Raw genomic sequence first — 18,957 nt, forward strand, 5'->3', positions numbered from 1 at the left:
AATACAGTGAAACCCCATCTCTACAAAAAATACAAAAATTAGTCGGGTGTCATGGTGCATGCCTGTAGTCCCACAACTCAGGAGGTTGAGGTAGGAGGCTTGCTTGAGTCCGTAAGGCAGAGGTTGCAGTGAGCCGAGACTGTACCACTGCACTCCAGCCTGGGTGATAGGGCCAGGTCTTGTCTCAAAAAAAATTTAAAAAGTAGTTTTAGGGGGCAAAAAACTGGGATCCCTTTTCTGACCAGGCTAAAGCTTCCTTCATTGACGCATGCAATTTTTTTTTTTTTGAGATGGAGTCGCACTCTGTCACCAAGGGTATAGTGCAATGGCGCAATCTTGGCTCACTGCAACCTCTGCCTCCCAGGCTCAAGTGATTCTCCTGCTTCAGCCTCCCAAGTAGCTGGGATTACAAGCGTCTGCCACCACGCCTGGCTAACTTTTGTATTTTTAGTAGAAACAGGGTTTCACCATGTTGGCCAGGCTGGTCTCAAACTCCTCAAGTGATCTGCCTGCCTCAGCCTCCCAAAGTGCTGGGATTACAGGCATGAGCCATCGCACCCAGCCAGACTCATGCAATTTTTAATGTATATTTAGTAATCATAATAACTGTGTTGGAAGGTTTAATAAAAGAAAGCATACTGAAATACTTTTCCTGGGGAAAGGCAATGACCACACATTTCTTAAAAAAATAAAATTGGTTATTTATACACAAGTTCCCCTACCTCCATCTCTTTAATCTTTGTACTGCTTGTGCCTAGCAAGAAATAGGTATTCTGTCAGGCACGGTAGCTCACACCTGTAATCCTAGCACTTTGGGAGGATCACTTGAGCCCAGGAGTTCAAGATTAGCCTGAGCAATACAGTGAGATCTCATCTCTACCAAAAAATTTTTCAAAAAATTAATGAGGTGTGGTGGCACGTGCCTGTGGTCCCAGGTACTCAGGAGGCTGAGGTAGGAGGCTTGCTTGAGCCCAGGAGGTTGAAGCTGCAGTGAGCTGTGATCACACCACTGCACTCCAGCCTCAATGACAAAGGGAGACTGTCGAAAGAAAGAAAGAAAAAGAAAGAAAGAAAGGAAGGAAGGAAAGAAGGAAGGAAGGAAAAAAATGGGTATTCAATTAAAGTTTGTTAAATAAAAACAGATTTTTTCTTCCTAATGCATGTTTTCTCTTCATTTTTCTTATCTGAAGTCTTCCCTTGGAATATAAGTAAGTCTTCCTCCTTCCCATTTAATATCTCATTGCCTGATTGTTTTTCAGTTTAAACAACAGGAGAATCCAATAACAAATATTTACCAATAGCTAAGAGTTACTGAAAGTGCCTTCTTAGTTATAAAAAGTTAATCCATTTTTAATGTAAGGCAAGAAGTTCACAATTAAACCTAAGAGGATAATTTACTATAGATAGACGTGAAGTACCTAAAAAGAAATGAATATCCAATCTACACCTATATAATGGCAAAAATTAGAACTAGAGTTTCAGAGTCAGAGGGGACATTAATGTCAGGTCGGCAGGTCTGGGCTCACATCCAATCCAAACCAAGCTTTGCTGAGTGTCCCTTCCCTCCACTTTCTCCTGAATCATTCCCCCTTGGGCTAGGAGTTTCCAAGAAGGCAAATAAACTAAGATAAGCAACAAGAGCAAAGAATGGCAACTCAAATGTGCAGTTCAAGGCTTTGAATACGAATTTTTTTTAACACTAATGAAAAAGGTAGTATCATAGCTCTTAAAATATTGAAATACTTCTCTCTGTCCAGTATCAGCAGATAATGCAGAAAAGCCCATTGGGAACATGTTCCTCTCCTTCAAATGCCACTTAGAAAGCTTCATCATTATTCATAAATGATGAATAGAAGTCTGGGCATGGCCGGGTGTGGTGGCTCATACCTGTAATCCCAGCGCTTTGGGAGGCTGAGGTGGGTGGATCGCCTAAGGTCAGGAGTTCGAGACCAGCCTGGCCAACATGGTGAAACCTCGTCTCTACTAAAAATACAAAAATTAGCTGGGTGCGGTGGCACGCACCTGTAATCCCAGCTACTCAGGAGGCTGAGGCAGGAGAATCGCTTGAACCTGGGAGGCGGAGGTTGCAGTGAGCTGAGATCGCGCCACTACACTCCAGCCTGGGTGACAGAGCAAGACTCCGTCTCAAAAAAAAAAAAAAAAAAAAAAGTAGTGTTTACAATATAAGGGAAATTGGGATCCCATGTTCTAATTCAAAGAATTTAAGGCTATTAACCATTTTAAAGTTCTCATGTTTAAGCTTCTCACTTTATCCTTCTTTATTCAAGAAAATCCATAATACAAAGTATTGGCAAAGATGTGAGGAACTGGAACTGCCATACACTGCTAGTGGGAGTGGAAATTGGTGTAACCACTGTGGAAAACCGTTTGACGGTATCTACCAAACCTGAACATATCCCTTCCCTATGATCCAGGAATTCTACTTGTGGGCATAATCCTTTATACTGGTGTTTATGTCCACCATATATAAAACAATGTTCACAGCAGTGCTATGCATAATTACACAAAATTGGAACAACTTCCATGTGCTTCGTGAACATAATGGATAAAATAAATTATAAGATCTATTCATACCACGGAATGGTACCAGCAATTAAAAAAAAAAACACTGCTACAGAGAACAAGGTTGAATCTTATTATTATAATGTTGAGTAAAAGAAGGTGGACATAAAAGAGCACACGATGATGGTTTGGTTTACATGAAGTTCAAACATAGGCAAAAGCAATCCATGGCATCAGAAGTCAGAATAGTGGCTACCTGGGGAGGGGGTACTGACAGAGAGGGTGGAGCTAGAATTGCTCTATATCTCAGTCTGATCGTGGTTATTTGGGCACGTACATATGTGAAAACTAATGAAATTGTACTCTTAAGATGTGTGCATATTTACTGTGTGCCAATTATACTTCATTTAGAAATATCTGGAGAGAGAGACATAGAAATTTCTGAATTCTTTCCTAAATAGAAAAGAATTCCATGCAGCTTAAATATCGTTGCAAGTATTGATGCTTATACCTTTAGAAAGCCCATTATGCTTCTGAAAAATGCACTTACTACTTAATATCATACATAATAGAAAGCTAACATTTTGTATTAACGGAATCTGGAAAACATATTGTACTACACATTTGAAATTACAGATTTACTAACTAGTAAAGATAACTATTTAAGAACTAAAATGTCTTTGTTTTTCAACTCTTTTCCCCCGATTTCCATTTTTTACTTTTTATATTTCAGAATTATTTGTAACAAAAGCTATTGGATATAATTCCTGCACTTCTATATTGCAAGCATTTTCTCTATTTACCACAGAGACTTCAAGTCCTAGCATTTCAGAGCTGAAGGGGACTCGGACGGACTCCCTCACTGCACAGATGAGGACGCGGAGGCCGGGGGAGGTGAGTGTCAGTCCCAAGGTTGCAGACCTAGGACAGGGACCGGAGCTGCCGGGCACCCAGAACTCTGTCGCCTTCAACCCAAATTCGATTCAGTCCTCTCATCTTTCCAAATAGAAAGCTGACGCGAACCGATGGGAAGATTTTTTTTTTCAATAACAACTATGCTACCCAGCAGATTCTTTGGGGACAGTCCTCGGAGTCCTTGAAAACCCCTTTGGGGTTTATGCCAGGATAAGAAGAGACTAGAAGAAAGGGACAGCTAGTATTTTAATATGTAAATCTGTTTGCATAATATTTCCTAGGTAAACTATTCGTTGATCCAACCAAAATTCGGCGGGGCTGGGGGGTATCGTTATTGAGGATGACTCGCTCTAGGGGAGAACGCGGACGCATTTTCCCATCAGAGTTCCCTCCATAAATCAAAACCTCAAAAGAAGAGTTAAAGACGACACCCAGGTGTCTACAGTATCCAAGGGCCGGGCCAGGAGAGGTCCTTGGCCACCTGGCGCCGAGTTCGCGGCCGCAGACTCCCACGGACGGCCCAGCACCCGAGCGCGCGGGCCGAGCTGCCCCAGACCCGGCGCAGCGCCTCGGCGAGGCCGTCTGCGAAGTCCGGGCCGCCACTCGGGACCGCGGCCCGAGCCAGAGGAGAGACTTCGGAGAAGAGGGAAGAGGACGCGGGGTGGGAAACGCCGGGGCCGCAGGCAAGTAGTGGGCGAGTCCGGAGGGCGCGAAAGAGGGGAGGGGCGCGGGAGGCAATGGAAGGAGCGAGCGCGGGGAGGAGCGAGGCGGCTGGGCCGGAGGAGGCGCGCGCCCGGGTCCACACTGCGGGGTGGGGGCTGAGGGACCGCGAGGGGCTGCGAGCGAGCGAGCGGGGCCTTACCGAGCAGCGGCAGCTGGCCGCCGTCGCGCGCCAACGCCGGCATGGCCTCCGGAGCCCGGGGTCCCCAGGCCGCGCCGGCCCAGCCCTGCGATGCCGCCTGGAGCGGCGCGCCTCGCGCTGCAGGTGGCTCTCTTAAGGATGCGCGTCACCGACCGCAAATTCCCTCGGACTGGTGCAAAGTGGAAGGGGGGAGGAACCCTCTCCCCAGAGGCAGGGACCGAGGCGGGAGCGGAGAGGTTGGGCAGAGCCGAGCAGCCGGTGCCTGGCGCAGCGCTGCAGCCGAGCCCACGTGCCCGCCGCGGTCCGCAGCCTGTGCTCGGCGGCCCCCGGGGCTCCCCGACTGCGGCGGGGAAGATTGGGCGCGGTCCCGCCGGAGAAGTTGCACTGGCTCCGCGGCTCTGCCGCCTTGCTGCCCCTGTGAGTCCCCGAACTCTGTCGTTTGGATCCGGGGCGTGGGGACTGCAGGGAGCCACAAACCACCCTCCTAGTGCGCTGGGATCTTTGAGGCCCTGAGAAAGGCGCTGAATCCGCTCGGCACGCTGGCAACTCCCGCCAGCGCACAGGCGAGCATTCCATTAAGAACCATTCCATTCTTAATTGTGGACTGATTTCCTTTGTCTCTGCCTCCATCTCCTAGGATGCTCAGGACCCAGTCAGCGGCGGGATCAAGAAAAACAGGCAGGGTTTCAATGTCAACCAAGGCAATTAGGGAGGTTAACAAACAGCCTTCAAAACAAAACACACAGAAAATACATCCCAGAGGATGTTGCGAATCATCCGCTCAATAGTTCTTGTTCTTCATCGCATAATTTTTCGAGTTGAAAATTATTATTATTTTCTTTGCAATAAGTTGAGGATTGGAAAGCTCTGGATGCCAGTTCTGGTTCTTCCCTTACTTAACTAGCCGTTTGACCTCCACAAACCTCTGTTTACTCATCGTAAAGGAAAGGGATGGACCAAATGGTTCATAATGTCTCTCCCAATTCTAGGAATTCCACGCTCTTAATTATTTTAATTATTTTCTAATAAAGCATGAAAATTGACTGTTTACTCTTGGCCATACAGTTCTTTTCCTTAGATGTTGTCTACAGTACAATAATTCTTTCCCCTAGGGTATGGCAGAAACTTTAGAAGTGTCTACCATGGTGCAGCCACTATGGAAAACACTATAGAGGTTTCTCAAAAAATTAAAAAAAATACGGTCCAACAATTCCATTTCTGGCCATGTAGCCAAAAGAATTGAAAGCAGGGTCTTGAAGAGATGTCTGTACACCCGTGTTGAAAGCAGCATTATTCACAGTAGTCAAAAGGCAGAAGTAACCCATGTCCACAACAGATGAATGATAAACAAAAATGCAGTATATACATACGACTGAGTATTTTTCAGCTTTAAAGAGGAGGGAAATTCTGATACAGCTAAAATATGGATGAATCTTGACATTATGCTAAGTGAAATAAGCTAGTCCCAAAAAATACAATACTGTATCCCATTACAAATTCATAAAGACAGAAAGTTAAATGGTGGTTACCATGGGCTGGGGGCAGGGGGAAATGGGGAGCCAGTGTTTAATGGATACAGAGTTTCAGTTTTGCAAGATGAGCAGAGTTCTGGAGACTGGTTGCACAACAATGTGAATGTACTTAACGCTACTAAACTGTACACTTAAAAATGGCTAAGGCTGGGTGCGGTGGCTCATGCCTGTAATCCTAGCACTTTGGGAGGCCGAGGTGGGCAGATCACCTGAGGTCAGCAGTTCGAGACCAGCCTAGCCAACATGGTGAAACCCCATCTCTACAAAAATGCAACAATTAGCCAGGCGTAGTGGCGCATGCCTGTAATCCCAGCTACCTGGGAGGTTGAGGCAGGAGAATCACTGGAACCCGGGAGGCAGAGGCTGCAGTGAGCTGAGATCACACCACTGCACTCCAGCCTGGGTGACAGAGTGAGACTCTGTCTCAAAAACAAAAACAAAAACAAAAAGTTAAGATGGTAAATTTTATGTATGTGTATTTTACCTCAATTTTAAATTTTTTAAGTTTTTGTGTAGCTGCTGGGGGTTTAAAAATTTTTTTAAAGAGTGTTGTGTCTACCTTAGGTCAGAAACAGAAGTGAAGGAAGATGGCCTGAAATAAGTGAAACATGAGGAGATAAAGCAATGAAACAGGCTGGTTATGGGGAGAAAAGCGAGCTTCCAATGGCCAAGACCTAACACACTACCTTCTATTTAAAGCTCAATTACTGTCTTAAAGGAAACTGATTGGCTGGGCGCTGTGGCTCATGCCTGCAATCCCAGCGCTTTGGGAGGCCAAAGCGGGTGGATCATTTGAGGTCAGGAGTTGGAGACCAGCCTGACCAACATGGTGAAACCCCATCTCTAACAAAAATACAAAAATTAGCTGGGCATGGTGGCACTGTAGTCGTAGCTACTTGGGAGGCTGAGGCAGGGGAATTGCTTGAACCCAGGAAGCAGATGTTGCAGTGAACTGAGATCATGCCACTGCACTCCAGCCTGGGCAACAGAGCAAGACTTGGTCTTCGCCGGGCGTAGTGGCTCATGCCTGTAATCCCAGCACTTTGGGAAGCTAAGGCAGGTGGATCACGAGGTCAGGAGTTCAAGACCAGCCTGGCAAAGATGGTGAAACCTGTCTCTACTAAAAATACAAAAAATTAGCCAGGCGTGGTGGCATACGCCTGTAATCCCAGCTACTCAGGAGGCTGAGGCAGAGAATTGCTTAAACTTGGGGAGCGGAGGTTGCAGTGAGCCAAGATCGCGCCACTACACTCCAGCCTGGGCGACAGAGGGAGATTCCGTCTCAAAAAAATAAATAAATAAAATGAAAAACTAAAAAAAAAATGAAACTGATTATTACAAATTTGCAGAACATCAGCTTGAGTGCAGCAGTATTCAGGATACAAAATCATAAAGATACTGCTGCTTTGTCCAAGAATCTTGGACACAAGGCAGAGATCTTCATGAAAAAGGGGGTTGGTGAGAGAGGAGAAGTTAGGAATGGTTTCTTTTTTTGAGACAGAGTCTTGCTCTGTCGCCCAGGCTAGAGTGCAGTGGCACGATCTAGGCTCACTACAACCTCCGCCTCCCGGGTTCAAGCGATTCTCCAGCCTCAGCCACCTGAGTAGCTGGGATTACAGGCACCCGCCACTGCGCCCAGCTAATTTTGTATTTTTAGTAGAGAAGGGTTTCACCATCTTGGCCAGGCTGGTCTCAAACTCCTGACCTCGTGATCCACCCTCCTTGGACTCCCAAAGTGCTGGGATTACAGGTGTGAGTCACCGCGGCCAGCCAGGAATGGTTTCTAGGAACACTTGATTTTCCGTGGAAATTGGTGGAAAAAATAATTCTAGAAGGAGCAAATCTTATAGACTGAAATATTTTGGAGTATGAGGTATAGGCTAACAGAAGGTGAAGTAATGCCCATGTTTTTCTGTGATGTGCCAAGAGTCATATCTAATATGAGAACTAATTTCTTCCTCACAGCAACACTTAAGGAAAGTAGCCTGAAATTGTCTAGAGTCCTGGATTACACGCCCAGGTATGCATGCCCAAGTATGAAATTTTGGTGTCAGAGTTCATGATAGGAATTCTGTAATAAAGAAACTCTTAAAGGGTCAAAAGCAACTAGAAGAAATGAGCTGAAACGGGAAATCGGAAAAGAGAAGAGTAAGTTTGTTTCTGGGTTGAATGGAGTGTCTAGTGCTAACTCTACGAAAGGATGTATTTTATCTAGATTCTTAGCACCATGATGCTTAGCCATGAGTAAGTGGTCATCTATCTTACCAGCATCTTGATACCATGTTTCCACCCCTTAAGTCACACAAATATCTCCTCTCCCTTTCCTCTCTCTCTCCAAAAATTGTGACATAGTTTCGTAGCAGCTCACAGGTGAAATACTTTCATGTCATTTTTAACTTACAAAGCCTTATGTTTTCCTGAAAATCAGGGACAAACAAAAGGAATATTTGAATAGGGTTCATGTGAGTTCAGTTGAGATATCAACTTTATAGTATAATTTTACACATCTTTTATTAATAGGGGCTTTGAACTCACCAATTGGCAAAATCTGACAATACAAAGTGTTGACAAGAATTCAGAGCAATGGAGAACACCCACACACTGTTGGTGGACATCCCAATGGGTGTGAGCACTTTGAAAAATAATTTGGCATATCTTACTAAAGTTGAACATATCCTCCAGCCAGCAGTTTCACCCCCAGATATAAACCTCAAAGAAACACATATGTGCCAAGAGACAAGTATAAGAATGTTCATAGCATTATTGTTTATAATATCAAAAAATTGGGAACAATCTAAATGCCCACCAACAAAAGGATAAATTGCAGTACAGTCATAATAAAATACCTATATATTAAATAACAGTGTAAATGAATGAGCTACAGTTACCTGACACACCATGAATGAATCTCAAAAACATAATGTTGAGGGGGAAAAGCAAGTCATGGAATAATAGACATAAAGGCGGAAGCAAACAATATTCTCCTTAGGAATACATTCATAGGGGTATAAGGAAAGTAAAGGAATAATTACCACAAAAGTCAGGATTGTGGTTACGTCTGGTATGGGGTGGGAAGAGGAGGTTTAATTAGAGAAGACAAACTGGGGATTTCTGAGGTGCTAACATACCCTATTGTTGTTTTGCGATAGGGTCTTGCTACACTGCCCAAGCTGGAGTGTAATGGCTATTCACAGGCACGACCATAGCTCACTGCAGCCTTGAACTCCTGGGCTCAAGCCTCTGGGTAGCTGGGACTACAGGTGTGGACCACCATGTCCAACCACACCCTATTTTTTTTTAACCTCTGTGGTGGGTGCTGGATGTTCATTTTATTGTTATTCTTTAAACTATGTAATTATTTTTACACACTGCTGTGAATATGATGTATTTCACAACAAAAGAAAATTAAAGGCCGGGTGCGGTGGCTCATGCCTGTAATCACAGTATTTTGGGAGGCCGAGGCGGGCGGATCACAGGTCAGGAGTTTGAGACCAGCCTGGCCAACATGGTGAAACCCCGTCTCTACTAAAAGTACAAAAATTAGCCGGGCACAGTGGCACGCACCTGTAATCCCAGCTACTTGGGAGGGAGGCTGAGGCAGGAGAATCACTTGAACCCAGGAGGCGGAGGTTGCAGTGAGCCGAGATGGTGCCATTGCACTCTAGCCTGGGCGACAGAGCAAGACTCCAACTCAAAAAAAAAAAGGAAAATTAAAGAAGTTTGAGGCCAGTCACAGTGGCTCACACCTATAATCCCAGCACTTCGGGAGGCTGAGATAAGAGGATCACTGAGCCTAGAAGTTACAGACCACCCTGGGCAATAAAATGAGACCCCACTTCTAGAAAAAAAAAATTAAAATTAGCCGGGTATGTGGCTCACACCTGTAGTCCCAGCTATTCAGGAGGCTGAGTCAGGAGGATTGTTTGAACCCAGAAACTTGAGGCTGCAGTGAGCTGCGATTGTGTCACTGCACTTCAGCTTGAGCAACAGAGCAAGATCTTGTCTCTAAAAAATAATAATTAAAAATAAATAAATAAGTTTGACACATTTTCACCTACAAGTATTCTTATACAAACAAATGATATTTGAATCTGATTAAGATTCCAGGGCCTGGTGGCGCACACCTGAAGATCCCAGATCCAACTACCAATTTATAGGAAATACATGGGATAGTGGAATATGGGACAACACAGGGACATAATTTTAAAATTCCAAAGGCCAGGTGCAGTGGCTCACACCTGTAATCCCAGCACTTTGGGAGGCTGAGGGGGGCGGATCACTTGAGGTCAGGAGTTCAAGACCAGCCTGGCCAACATAGTGAAACCCTGTCTCTACTAAAAATACAAAAATAAGCTGGGCATGGTGGCGGCCGCCTGTAATCCCAGCTACTCAGGAGGCTGAGACAGGAGGATCGCTTGAACCCAGAAGGTGGAGGTTGCAGTGAGCCCAGATGGTACCATTGCACTCCAGCCTGGGTGACACAGCAAGACTCCATCTCAAAAAAATATAAATAAATAAATAAATAAATAATAAATAAAATAAAATTCCAGAACCTAGGAAACTGTATGGAACAAATATCTTGGTTTCTTCAACGAAAATTTGTAAGAAAATAAAAAAAGAGATGGAGCCTATAAATTAAAAGAAACCTAAGATATATTAAGGACATTACAATATCAAGCAATTGTAATGTGCAATGTAAAGATGTTATTTGGATGCTGATTCAAGTAACCCGAAAAATATACATAAAATAATTGGGAAAATGTGATCACTGGTTTTAATTTTGATATTATTTTATAAAAAATTATATGTGTGTGGGAGGCTGAGGTAGGAGAATTGCTTGAACCCCAGGAGGCGGAGGTTGCAGTGAGCCGAGATTGCGCCACTGCACTCCAGCCTGGGGGACAGAGAGAGACTCTGTCTCCATTAAAAAAAAAAAAAATTATGTGTGATGATAGCATTGTTATATATTTTAAAAATCATTCCTATCTTTGCAGAGGTACACATGAAATAGTTACAGAAAAAATGATATGAAATGGGAAGGTTGAGGGGGAATAAGGAGTGACAGTTAATGGGAACAGGGTTTCTTTTTTTCGGATGATGAAACTATTGTAAAATTAGATTATGGTGATGGTTGCTCAACTCTGTAAATACACTAAAAACCACTGAATTGTAGGCTAAATAGGTGAACTATAGACATGTAAATTGGATCTCAGTGAAGCTGTAAAAAATGACATAAAGCCAGAGATTTTCTTCAAAATCATCTGATGTGGAGGGTTTGAGTGGAGCAATCAAAATTAACCATGTGTCACCAGTAGTTGCACCTCAGCCACAGTCATATAAGTTCATTATACTTTTTATTAGACATTTTCTATAATAAAAGGTTTTGAATAAAAAAGATTTGAAGAAAAGGCCGAGCCGTTGCGTACCTAGGATGCCATGTGGAAGCTGAAGCTGCACCTCCCGCGTGACCCCTCTAGCCAGCTGGGCCCCTCAGATGAGAGTTGCATCCAGGCCAGCACTAGCCGCTCAGCCACCAGCAGCGGCACCCCCATCTGCAGTTGGCTCTCCTGCTGCTGTGCCCCGTCTGATGGCCCAAATGGCAACCACTGCAGCTGGCGCGGCTGTGGGCTCTGCCGTGGGGCACACACTGGGTCACGCCATTACTGGGGGGTTTAGTGGAGGAAGTAATGCTGAGCCTGCGAGGCCTGACATCACTTACCAGGAGCCTCAGGGAACCCAGCTGGCACAGCAGCAGCAGCCTTGCTTCTATGAGATCGAACAGTTTCTGGAGTGTGCCCAGAACCATGGTGACATCAAGCTCTGTGAGGGTTTCAATGAGGTGCTGAAACAGTGCCGACTGGCAAAACGATTGGCCTGATCAAGAAGTTCAACCTGGAGAAATGGAAAATCAGCTCTATAACCAAGTTAATTTAGTATAAAAATCAAATTGATAGTGAAGGTATAAAGTGTAACCATCAGTTAAACCTCTTGTGTCATTCCTAGCTTCCTTGCTTCTGAATTGAAATGGAAGGGGGTGTTCCTACTCTGTAGAATTTGGGGCTGGGCAAATGTTTGTGTGGCCTCCTTAAAAGAGCTGTTATGATTTTATTCTTTGTGAGTTAATTAGAATAAAGTCATTTTCTTCCAAGGGAAAAAAAAAGATTTGAAATATTGGACAAGTTAACTTATCCTGAATGTGTGGAAGATGACTACCCCTGCTTAGAACTCATGAGCTGCTCTTTACTGTGTTTTTATTAACCCATCTAAATGGGATGAACAATAACAGGACCCTGGAATCTGTTTCCATTATGCAATTGGTGGCACACAGGTAAACTGCAAAATTCCAACTGCAGAATTTCATAATTGATAGTTCTTCCTTTATGTCTAAGATGATTTCAAAATAATCATCTCCTTAGAATTATTCGCAACAGATAATGTATTAGTTTGCTGGAGCTGCCATAACAAAGTACCACAGACACAGTTCTGGAGGCCAGAAGTCCAAGATCAAGGTGTTGGCAGGGTTGGTTCTAAGGGCTGTCATGGAGAATCTGTTCCAAGCCTTGTACTGGCTTCTGGTGGTTTGCAGGCAATATTTGGTGCTCCTTGGCTTCTGCTACATCACCCCGACCTCTGCCTTCATGTTCACGTGGCAGTCTCCCTGTGTGTGTGTCTGTCTAGCGCTGCATTTGAATTTCCCCTTTTCATAAGGATACCGGTCATATTGGATTAGGACCCACCCAATGACCTCAGTGTAACTTGATTACCTCTGTAAAAAGCCTATCTCCAAATAAGGTCACATTCTGAGGAATATGGGGTTAGGACCTCAAAAATACGTTTTTTAGGACCACAAAAAAATTGTGTCCTGTTAAGGGACACAATTCAGCCCTTAACGGATAGATTTCAAAATCAATAGAAATTAATTCATTTGCTTCACCTATAGATTGCTTGTTAATTGATATATTAAGTAGATTTCAATTTGATATTTTACTTTTACAAAAAATATTGAGCATGGGTAACTTTTAGAAGTCAACACAAAAATGGGAGCTGTTGAAAATTTTGCTTTCAAAGAGTTTAAGGTTAAAAAAGGGTACAAACTACATGACATGACAGTCATTAAATTTTCAGAAATTATGTATATGCCTACTCAAATAACTAGAAGATAATACACTAAAATGCAAACTGATTATCTCTGACTCATGGCCTTATTAGTGAGATGGAACTGATTTCTCCATCAGAAATCTAAGGCTCAGAGCTGTTAGGTGACCTACCTAAAGTCTCACAGCCAGTAAGAGGCTGAATGTGATTAGAATTCAAATTGGCTCATATCCAAAACCCCTGCTTTCAGCCATTATGGCTTAGAATAATAATTGCCACCATTTGAGTTCCTAAAATGTGCCAAACATTATACCAATCACTTTACAATCTTTGCTTCACTTAATACTAATAACAATCCCATAGGTTAGGTATTTTTCCCATTCCAAAGAAGTCTAATAGCAGCCTAAACTTTGAAGCAGGAGAGATGGATGATCCAGAAAGCCAAAAGAGGGAGTTCATGGAAAGAAGACAAGTTACAAAGATGGAGGTATCTGTGGTAAGGCGAGTTGGCCCATTTTACACTGTCAAAAATAACTAAGGACATAAGGGGTTTGAACAAAGTAATTAACAAGGAAAGAGTGAACACATTTATGTAGAATTTATATCCTACAAGCAGACAAAACATCTTCTTTTTGGACTTACATGGCATTTTATAAATATAGTTGTGTGTCACTTAATAGGACAGGTTCTGAGAAATGGATTGCTAGGCAATTTCATTGTTGCATAAACATCAGAGTGTACTTACACAAACCTAGATATTAGCCTACTGCATACCCAGGCTATGTGGTATAGCCTGTTGCTTCTAGGCTACAAACTTATATGGCATGTATTATACTGAATACTGTAGGCAGTTGTAACACAATAGTAAGTATTTGTATATCTGAACATATTGAAATATAGAAAAAGTACAGTAGAAAACCAGAACTATAATCTTTTGGATCATTGTCCATCTTGACCAAAATGTTGTTATGCAGCACATGACTGTACTACACTCTCTGATCACACTAGGCTTTTTCCAAATATGCTTTTTCTTCCCTTGAGCTGGCACATGGATGTCACAGTAATCCCATTTTGACAATACGTACATGAACAACAGCCTAGGGTATGGTGGAACAACAATATAGAAGGCATTAGATTTGCATGAGCAACTCCAAAACCTGTACTACCTACATCCCTCTAGACTGCTGCTTAAGAGAAATAAACTTCGGTCTCATTTAATCCATGGTGCTTGGGGGCTGTCTGTAACAATAGCTTACTTTGTACCCTGTTTGCATAGCCACCACTCCTCCACATAAACCCAAGTTAGAGTCACAGTGAACCAGAACTCCAAATTCATTATGTTCTTCTTGTTTCCATGTCTTGATACCTGTGTTGGTATCTGCAATGACCCATGCCCCTTTCTCACTATTTCCCTTGCCCCTTCCAGTCTATGTGACCAACTCTGATTCACCTTCTAGATTCATTCCTGACTACTCTATCGCTATCCCCCCAGCCACATGTGACTCAGGTACATCCTCTTGTTTCTCTCCTCTGTCTGTCCCACTGTACTACAGTTCTTAGCCTCTATGTTTGTCCAACTGTTGCCTGAACCTCATCCCCCAACTGTTACTCACACTTGCATTCCTAGACCTTAACACAACGACTAGTACCCAGCATGCTCTCATAAATCAATGAATATTCATTGCATGACTGGTGAATTTATTGACGAGTTTCTTCTTTTAATTTTATCTTATTTATTTTATTTTTGTTTTGTTGTTGTTGTTGGTTTTTCCACCAGAGGATATTGACAAGTTTCTAAAAAAAAATTTTGTTTTTTTGAGATAGGGTCTCGCATTATCCAACATGCCGAAGTGGAGAGGTATGATCATAGCTCACTGCAGCCTTGAACTCCCGGGCTCAAGCGATCCTCCTGCCTCAGCCTCCTGAGTAGCTGGGATGACAAACCCACACCACCACACCTGGCATATTTATTTATTTATTTTTATTTTTATTTTTTTGAGACAGAATTTCACTCTTATTGCCCAGGCTGGAATGCAATGGCATGATCTCGGTTAATGGCAACCTCTACCTCCCGGATTCAAGTGATTCTTCTGCCTCAGCCTCCCTAGTAGCTGGGACTAAAGGCATGCACCACCACACCCGGCTAATTTTGTATTTTTAGTAGAGACAGGGTTTCTCCATCTTGGTCAGGCTAGTCTCGAACTCCTGACCTCAGGTGATCCTCCCACATAGGCCTCCCAAAGTGCTGGGATTACAGGCGTGAGCCACTGCGCCTGGCCCCTATTTATTTATGTGTTTTGTAGAGATGAAGTCTCACTGTGTTGTCCAGGCTGATCTCAAACTCCCAGCCTCAAGTGGTCCTCCCACCTTGACCTCCCAAAGTGCAGAGATTACAGGCATGAGCCACTGTGCTTGACCAAAAAAAAAAAAAAAAAAAAAAAACTGTTTAATATGGAAATTTTCAAACATACACAAAAGTTGAAAGAATAATATAATGATACATGTATCCATCACTCTGTTTCAACAATGACCATCATTTTGTCATTCCTGAGAATGAGTAGAGCTCCAGAGTGCAGTTTTTGGAGACAACGTTTTAACTAAAAAGGACTACTTCAATTGGGAATTTTTTTTTTTGAGACGGAGTCTTGCTCTGTTGCCCAGGCTGGAGTGCAGTGGTGCGATCTCGGCTCACTTCAAGCTCTGTCTCCTGGGTTCACGCCATTCTGCTGGCTTAGCCTCCTGAGCAGCTGGGACCACAGGCGCCCACCACCATGCCTGGCTAATTTTTTGTATTTTTGTAGAGACGGGGTTTCACCACGCTAGCCAGGATGATCTTGATCTCCTGACCTCATGATCCGCGCCCCTCAGCCTCCCAAAGTGCTGGGATTACAGGCGTGAGCCACCGCGCCCAGCCTCAATTGGGATATTTTTAATCACTGTGGCAATCTGGTAAGGAGGTATTTTCAGGATTTTTATTTTAGGGGATAAGGGTCTTCAAATCAGGATCTGCACTTTAAAAAAACAGTGTAGGCCGGGCGTGGTGACTCACACCTGTAATCCCAGCACTTTGGGAGGCCGAGGCAGGCGGATCACAAGGTCAGGAGTTCAAGACCAGCCTGGCCAAAATGGTGAGACCCCATCTCTATTAAAAATACAAAAATTAGCTGGATGTGGTGGCATGTGCCTGTAACCTCAGCTACTTGGAGGGCTGAGACAGGAGAATCACTTGAACCCGGGAGGCAGAGGTTGCAGTGAGCCGAGATAGCGCCATTGTACTCCAGCATGGCAACAGAGCGAGACTCCGTCTCTAAATAAATAAGTAAAAAATAACAGTGTAGAGGCAATAAGAGAAATAGTTATTCTTTATTCCCAAAGGTATATAATATAATATTGCTTGACAGTCACATAAACAAATATTTGCACCAAAGTGTTACAGAGGTTTTGATAAAAGCATGTGCCAGGCATACTAGGGTCACAGTGAAAAATGTGCTCCATAAAACATTCCCTTCACTATGGCCCTTAGAAACCTTGGTTTAACCCAAGGAAACTGCTTCCTTTGTAGCTCTTTCAAATGCTACAGAGGAAGCAGTTGGGGAAAATTCTTGTTTCCCCCTGTTCCATATATGATGAAGCCTGGAATATTGGCATTCTTTTAGTTCTCCATTGCTACTTACAGATCATTACCTATTTTTTTTCTATTAAAAATAATACTCTTGGCGGGGCATGGTGGCTCATGCCTGTAATCTTTGGGAAGTCCAGGCGGACAGATCACTTGAGGTCAGGAGTTCAAGACTAGCCTGGCCAACATAGTGAAACCCCCTCTCTATTACAAATACAAAAATGGGCCAGGCGTGGTGGCTCATGCCTGTAATCCCAGCACTTTGGGAGGCCGAGGTGGGCAGATCACCTGAGGTTGGGAGTTTGAGACCACCCTGACCAACATAGTCAAACCCTGTCTCTACTAAAAATACAAAATTAGCCAGATGTGGTGGCAGGCACCTGTAATCCCAGCTACTTGGGAGGCTGAGGCAGGAGAATCACTTGAACCCGGGAGACGGAGGTTGCAGTGAGCTGAGATCACACGATTGCACTCCAGCCTGGCCGACAACAGTGAAACTACGTCTCAAAAAAAAAAAAAAAAAAGGTGGTGCACATCTGTAGTCCCAGCTACTTGGGAGGCTGAGGCATGAGAGTCGCTTGAACCTGGGAGCCCGAGGCTGCAGTAAGCCAAGATGGCGCCACTGCACTCCAGCCTGGGTGACAGAGTGAGACTCTGTCTCAAAAAAAAAAAAAAAAAAGAAAAGGGAGTATTCTTTTTCTAGCATAAGTGTACATGTTAAATGCAAAAAAGGAAAAAAGTTGGAAAGTATCCATACGCACACTCACACTACCTGTACCAACTGATAACCATTTACACTTCGATGCCAGTCTATCCAGTTTTTTCTCTATGAGTATATTTATACATAGATCTAAACATATATTTTATGAATAGGATTATCATACACATGCTCCTTCTTTGCTTACTTAAAAAAAAAATTGGGCTGGGCGCGGTGACTCACGCCTGTAATCCCAGCACTTTGGGAGGCTGAGGCAGGCGGATCACGAGGTCAGGAGATCGAGACCATCCTGGCTAGCACAGTGAAACCCCGTCACTACTAAATATACAAAAAAAAAAAAAAAAAAAATTAGCCGGGTATGGTGGCGGACGCCTGTAGTCCCAGCTACTCCAGAGGCTGAGGCAGGAGAATGGCGTGAACCCGGGAGGCAGAGCTTGCAGTGAGCCAAGATTGCGCCACTGCACTCCAGCCTGGGGAACAGAGCGAGATTCTGTCTCAAAAAAAATAAATAAATAAAGTAAAATAAAATAAAATCGGCCGGGCGTGATGGCTTATGCCTGTAATCCCAGCACTTTGGGAGGCCGAGGTGGACAGATCACTTGAGGTGAGGAGTTCGAGACCAGCCTGGCTAACATGGTGAAACCCTGTCTCTACAAAAAATACAAAAATTAGCCGGGCGTGCTAGCACGTGCCTGTAATCCCAGCTACTTGGGAGGCTGAGGCAGGAGAATTGCTTGAACCTGGGAGGCAGAGGTTGCAGTGAGCTGAGATCGTGCCATTGTGCTCCAGCCTGGCCAAAAAATCAAGACTTCGTCTCAAAAAAAAAAAAAAATCAAATATTGTCCATGTTGATTATGCCACAACATTACTGTTAAGTTACTCATTCCATGATATGGATGAATCATAATTTATGGAACCAATACATGCTTTTGGACATTTTATAGATATGTTTGATTTTGTTTTTTGTTTTGTTTTTTGCGACAGAGTTGTTGCCCAGACTGGAGTGCAATGGCGCGATCTCAGCTCACCACAACCTCTGCCTCCCGGGTTCAAGAGATTCTCCTGTCTCAGCCTCCCAAGTAGCTGGGACTACGGGCATGTGCCACCACATGTGGCTAATTTTGTATTTTTAGTACAGACGGGGTTTCTCCATGTCGGTAAGGCTGGTCTCGAACTCCCGACCTCTGGTGATCCACCCGCCTAGGCCTCCCAAAGTGCTGGGATTGCAGGCACAAGCTACCGTGCCTGGCATTTTGTTTTTGAGACGGGGTCTCACTCTGTAACCCAGGCTGGAGTGCAGTGGCACGATATCGGCTCACTGCAACCTCCACCTCCCAGGTTCAAGCAATTCTCCTGCCTCAGCCTCCCGAGCAGCTGGGACTATAGGCACATGCCACCACGCCTGGCTAATTTTTGTATTTTTAGTAGAGACGGGGTTTCACCATATTGGCCAGGCTAGTCTCAAACTCCTGACCTCATGATCCACCTGTGTTGGCCTCCCAAAGTGCTGGGATTACAGGTGTGAGCCACGGTGCCTGGCCAGGTATCTTTGTTTTAATATTCAGTTATTATGGCTACACATTTTATTTATTTAATTGTTTTTTATTTTTTATTTTTACAGATTGAGGCTCGCTGTGTTGCCCAGGCTTGTTCAAACACCTGGGCTTAAGGAATCCTCGCACCTCAGCCTCCC

General features: G+C 44.0%; 1 protein-coding gene and 1 pseudogene across 3 annotated transcripts in view, besides 3 other annotated features; one reads left to right on the plus strand and one right to left on the minus strand.

Annotated features, from left to right (window-relative positions):
* The window catches only part of FLT3 (fms related receptor tyrosine kinase 3), a 97,303-nt gene extending 92,894 nt beyond the window's left edge, over nucleotides 1-4,409 (minus strand). For all 3 annotated transcript variants that reach the window (NR_130706.2, XM_017020486.2, NM_004119.3), the window contains exon 1: nucleotides 4,301-4,409. Coding sequence is in view for 2 of the 3 variants with exons in the window: in XM_017020486.2 (XP_016875975.1) it covers nucleotides 4,301-4,343 (43 nt within the window). In the remaining variant the exon portion in view is untranslated. The remainder of the gene's footprint in view (nucleotides 1-4,300) is intronic.
* Nucleotides 4,243-4,402: a silencer, noted in NCBI's record as "silent region_5206". NCBI's record gives its function as "represses an Ori minimal core promoter by ATAC-STARR-seq in GM12878 lymphoblastoid cells {active_cell/tissue: GM12878}" and the evidence as "EXISTENCE:reporter gene assay evidence [ECO:0000049][PMID:35858748]".
* Nucleotides 4,523-4,582: a silencer, noted in NCBI's record as "silent region_5207". NCBI's record gives its function as "represses an Ori minimal core promoter by ATAC-STARR-seq in GM12878 lymphoblastoid cells {active_cell/tissue: GM12878}" and the evidence as "EXISTENCE:reporter gene assay evidence [ECO:0000049][PMID:35858748]".
* Nucleotides 4,693-4,822: an enhancer, noted in NCBI's record as "active region_7510". NCBI's record gives its function as "activates an Ori minimal core promoter by ATAC-STARR-seq in GM12878 lymphoblastoid cells {active_cell/tissue: GM12878}" and the evidence as "EXISTENCE:reporter gene assay evidence [ECO:0000049][PMID:35858748]".
* On the plus strand, nucleotides 11,240-11,909 carry CHCHD2P8 (coiled-coil-helix-coiled-coil-helix domain containing 2 pseudogene 8; annotated as a pseudogene).
* The last annotated feature ends 7,048 nt before the right edge of the window (nucleotides 11,910-18,957 follow it).

Source organism: Homo sapiens, chromosome 13 (genome assembly GCF_000001405.40).
Source record: "Homo sapiens chromosome 13, GRCh38.p14 Primary Assembly".
Taxonomy (NCBI): Eukaryota; Metazoa; Chordata; class Mammalia; order Primates; family Hominidae; genus Homo; species Homo sapiens.